Below are 381 nucleotides of genomic sequence, written 5' to 3'. Positions count from 1 at the left end.
CAGCTAATACTAAATACAAGGAAGGATCCCAGGGTCAGGGCTACAATGCTCATACTAAAATAATCTTGCTATATAATAATGAAGTTAAAGATCCTGTTTTTTGAAAAAGAAAACAAATTGTTACCTTAAACCTTTACCTGAGACAGTCCTTCATATTCTAACCAATTAGTTGCTTATTCATCTTTAAAAATGCTACAGGGCCGGGTGCAGTGGTGCACACCTGTAATCCCAGCTACTGGGGAGGCTGAGGTAGGAGGATCACTGGAGGCCAGGAGTTCAGCCTGGCAACCTAGCAAGACTGGTCTCTAAAATGTTTTTAATTTAAAAAAAAAAAAGCTATAGAAAAATGTAACCCTTTCCTACATAAAGTATGCATTTCTC

The sequence above is a fragment of the Homo sapiens genome, chromosome X (assembly GCF_000001405.40).
Source record: "Homo sapiens chromosome X, GRCh38.p14 Primary Assembly".
Lineage (NCBI taxonomy): Eukaryota > Metazoa > Chordata > Mammalia > Primates > Hominidae > Homo > Homo sapiens.
This window is presented reverse-complemented; position numbering follows the sequence as displayed.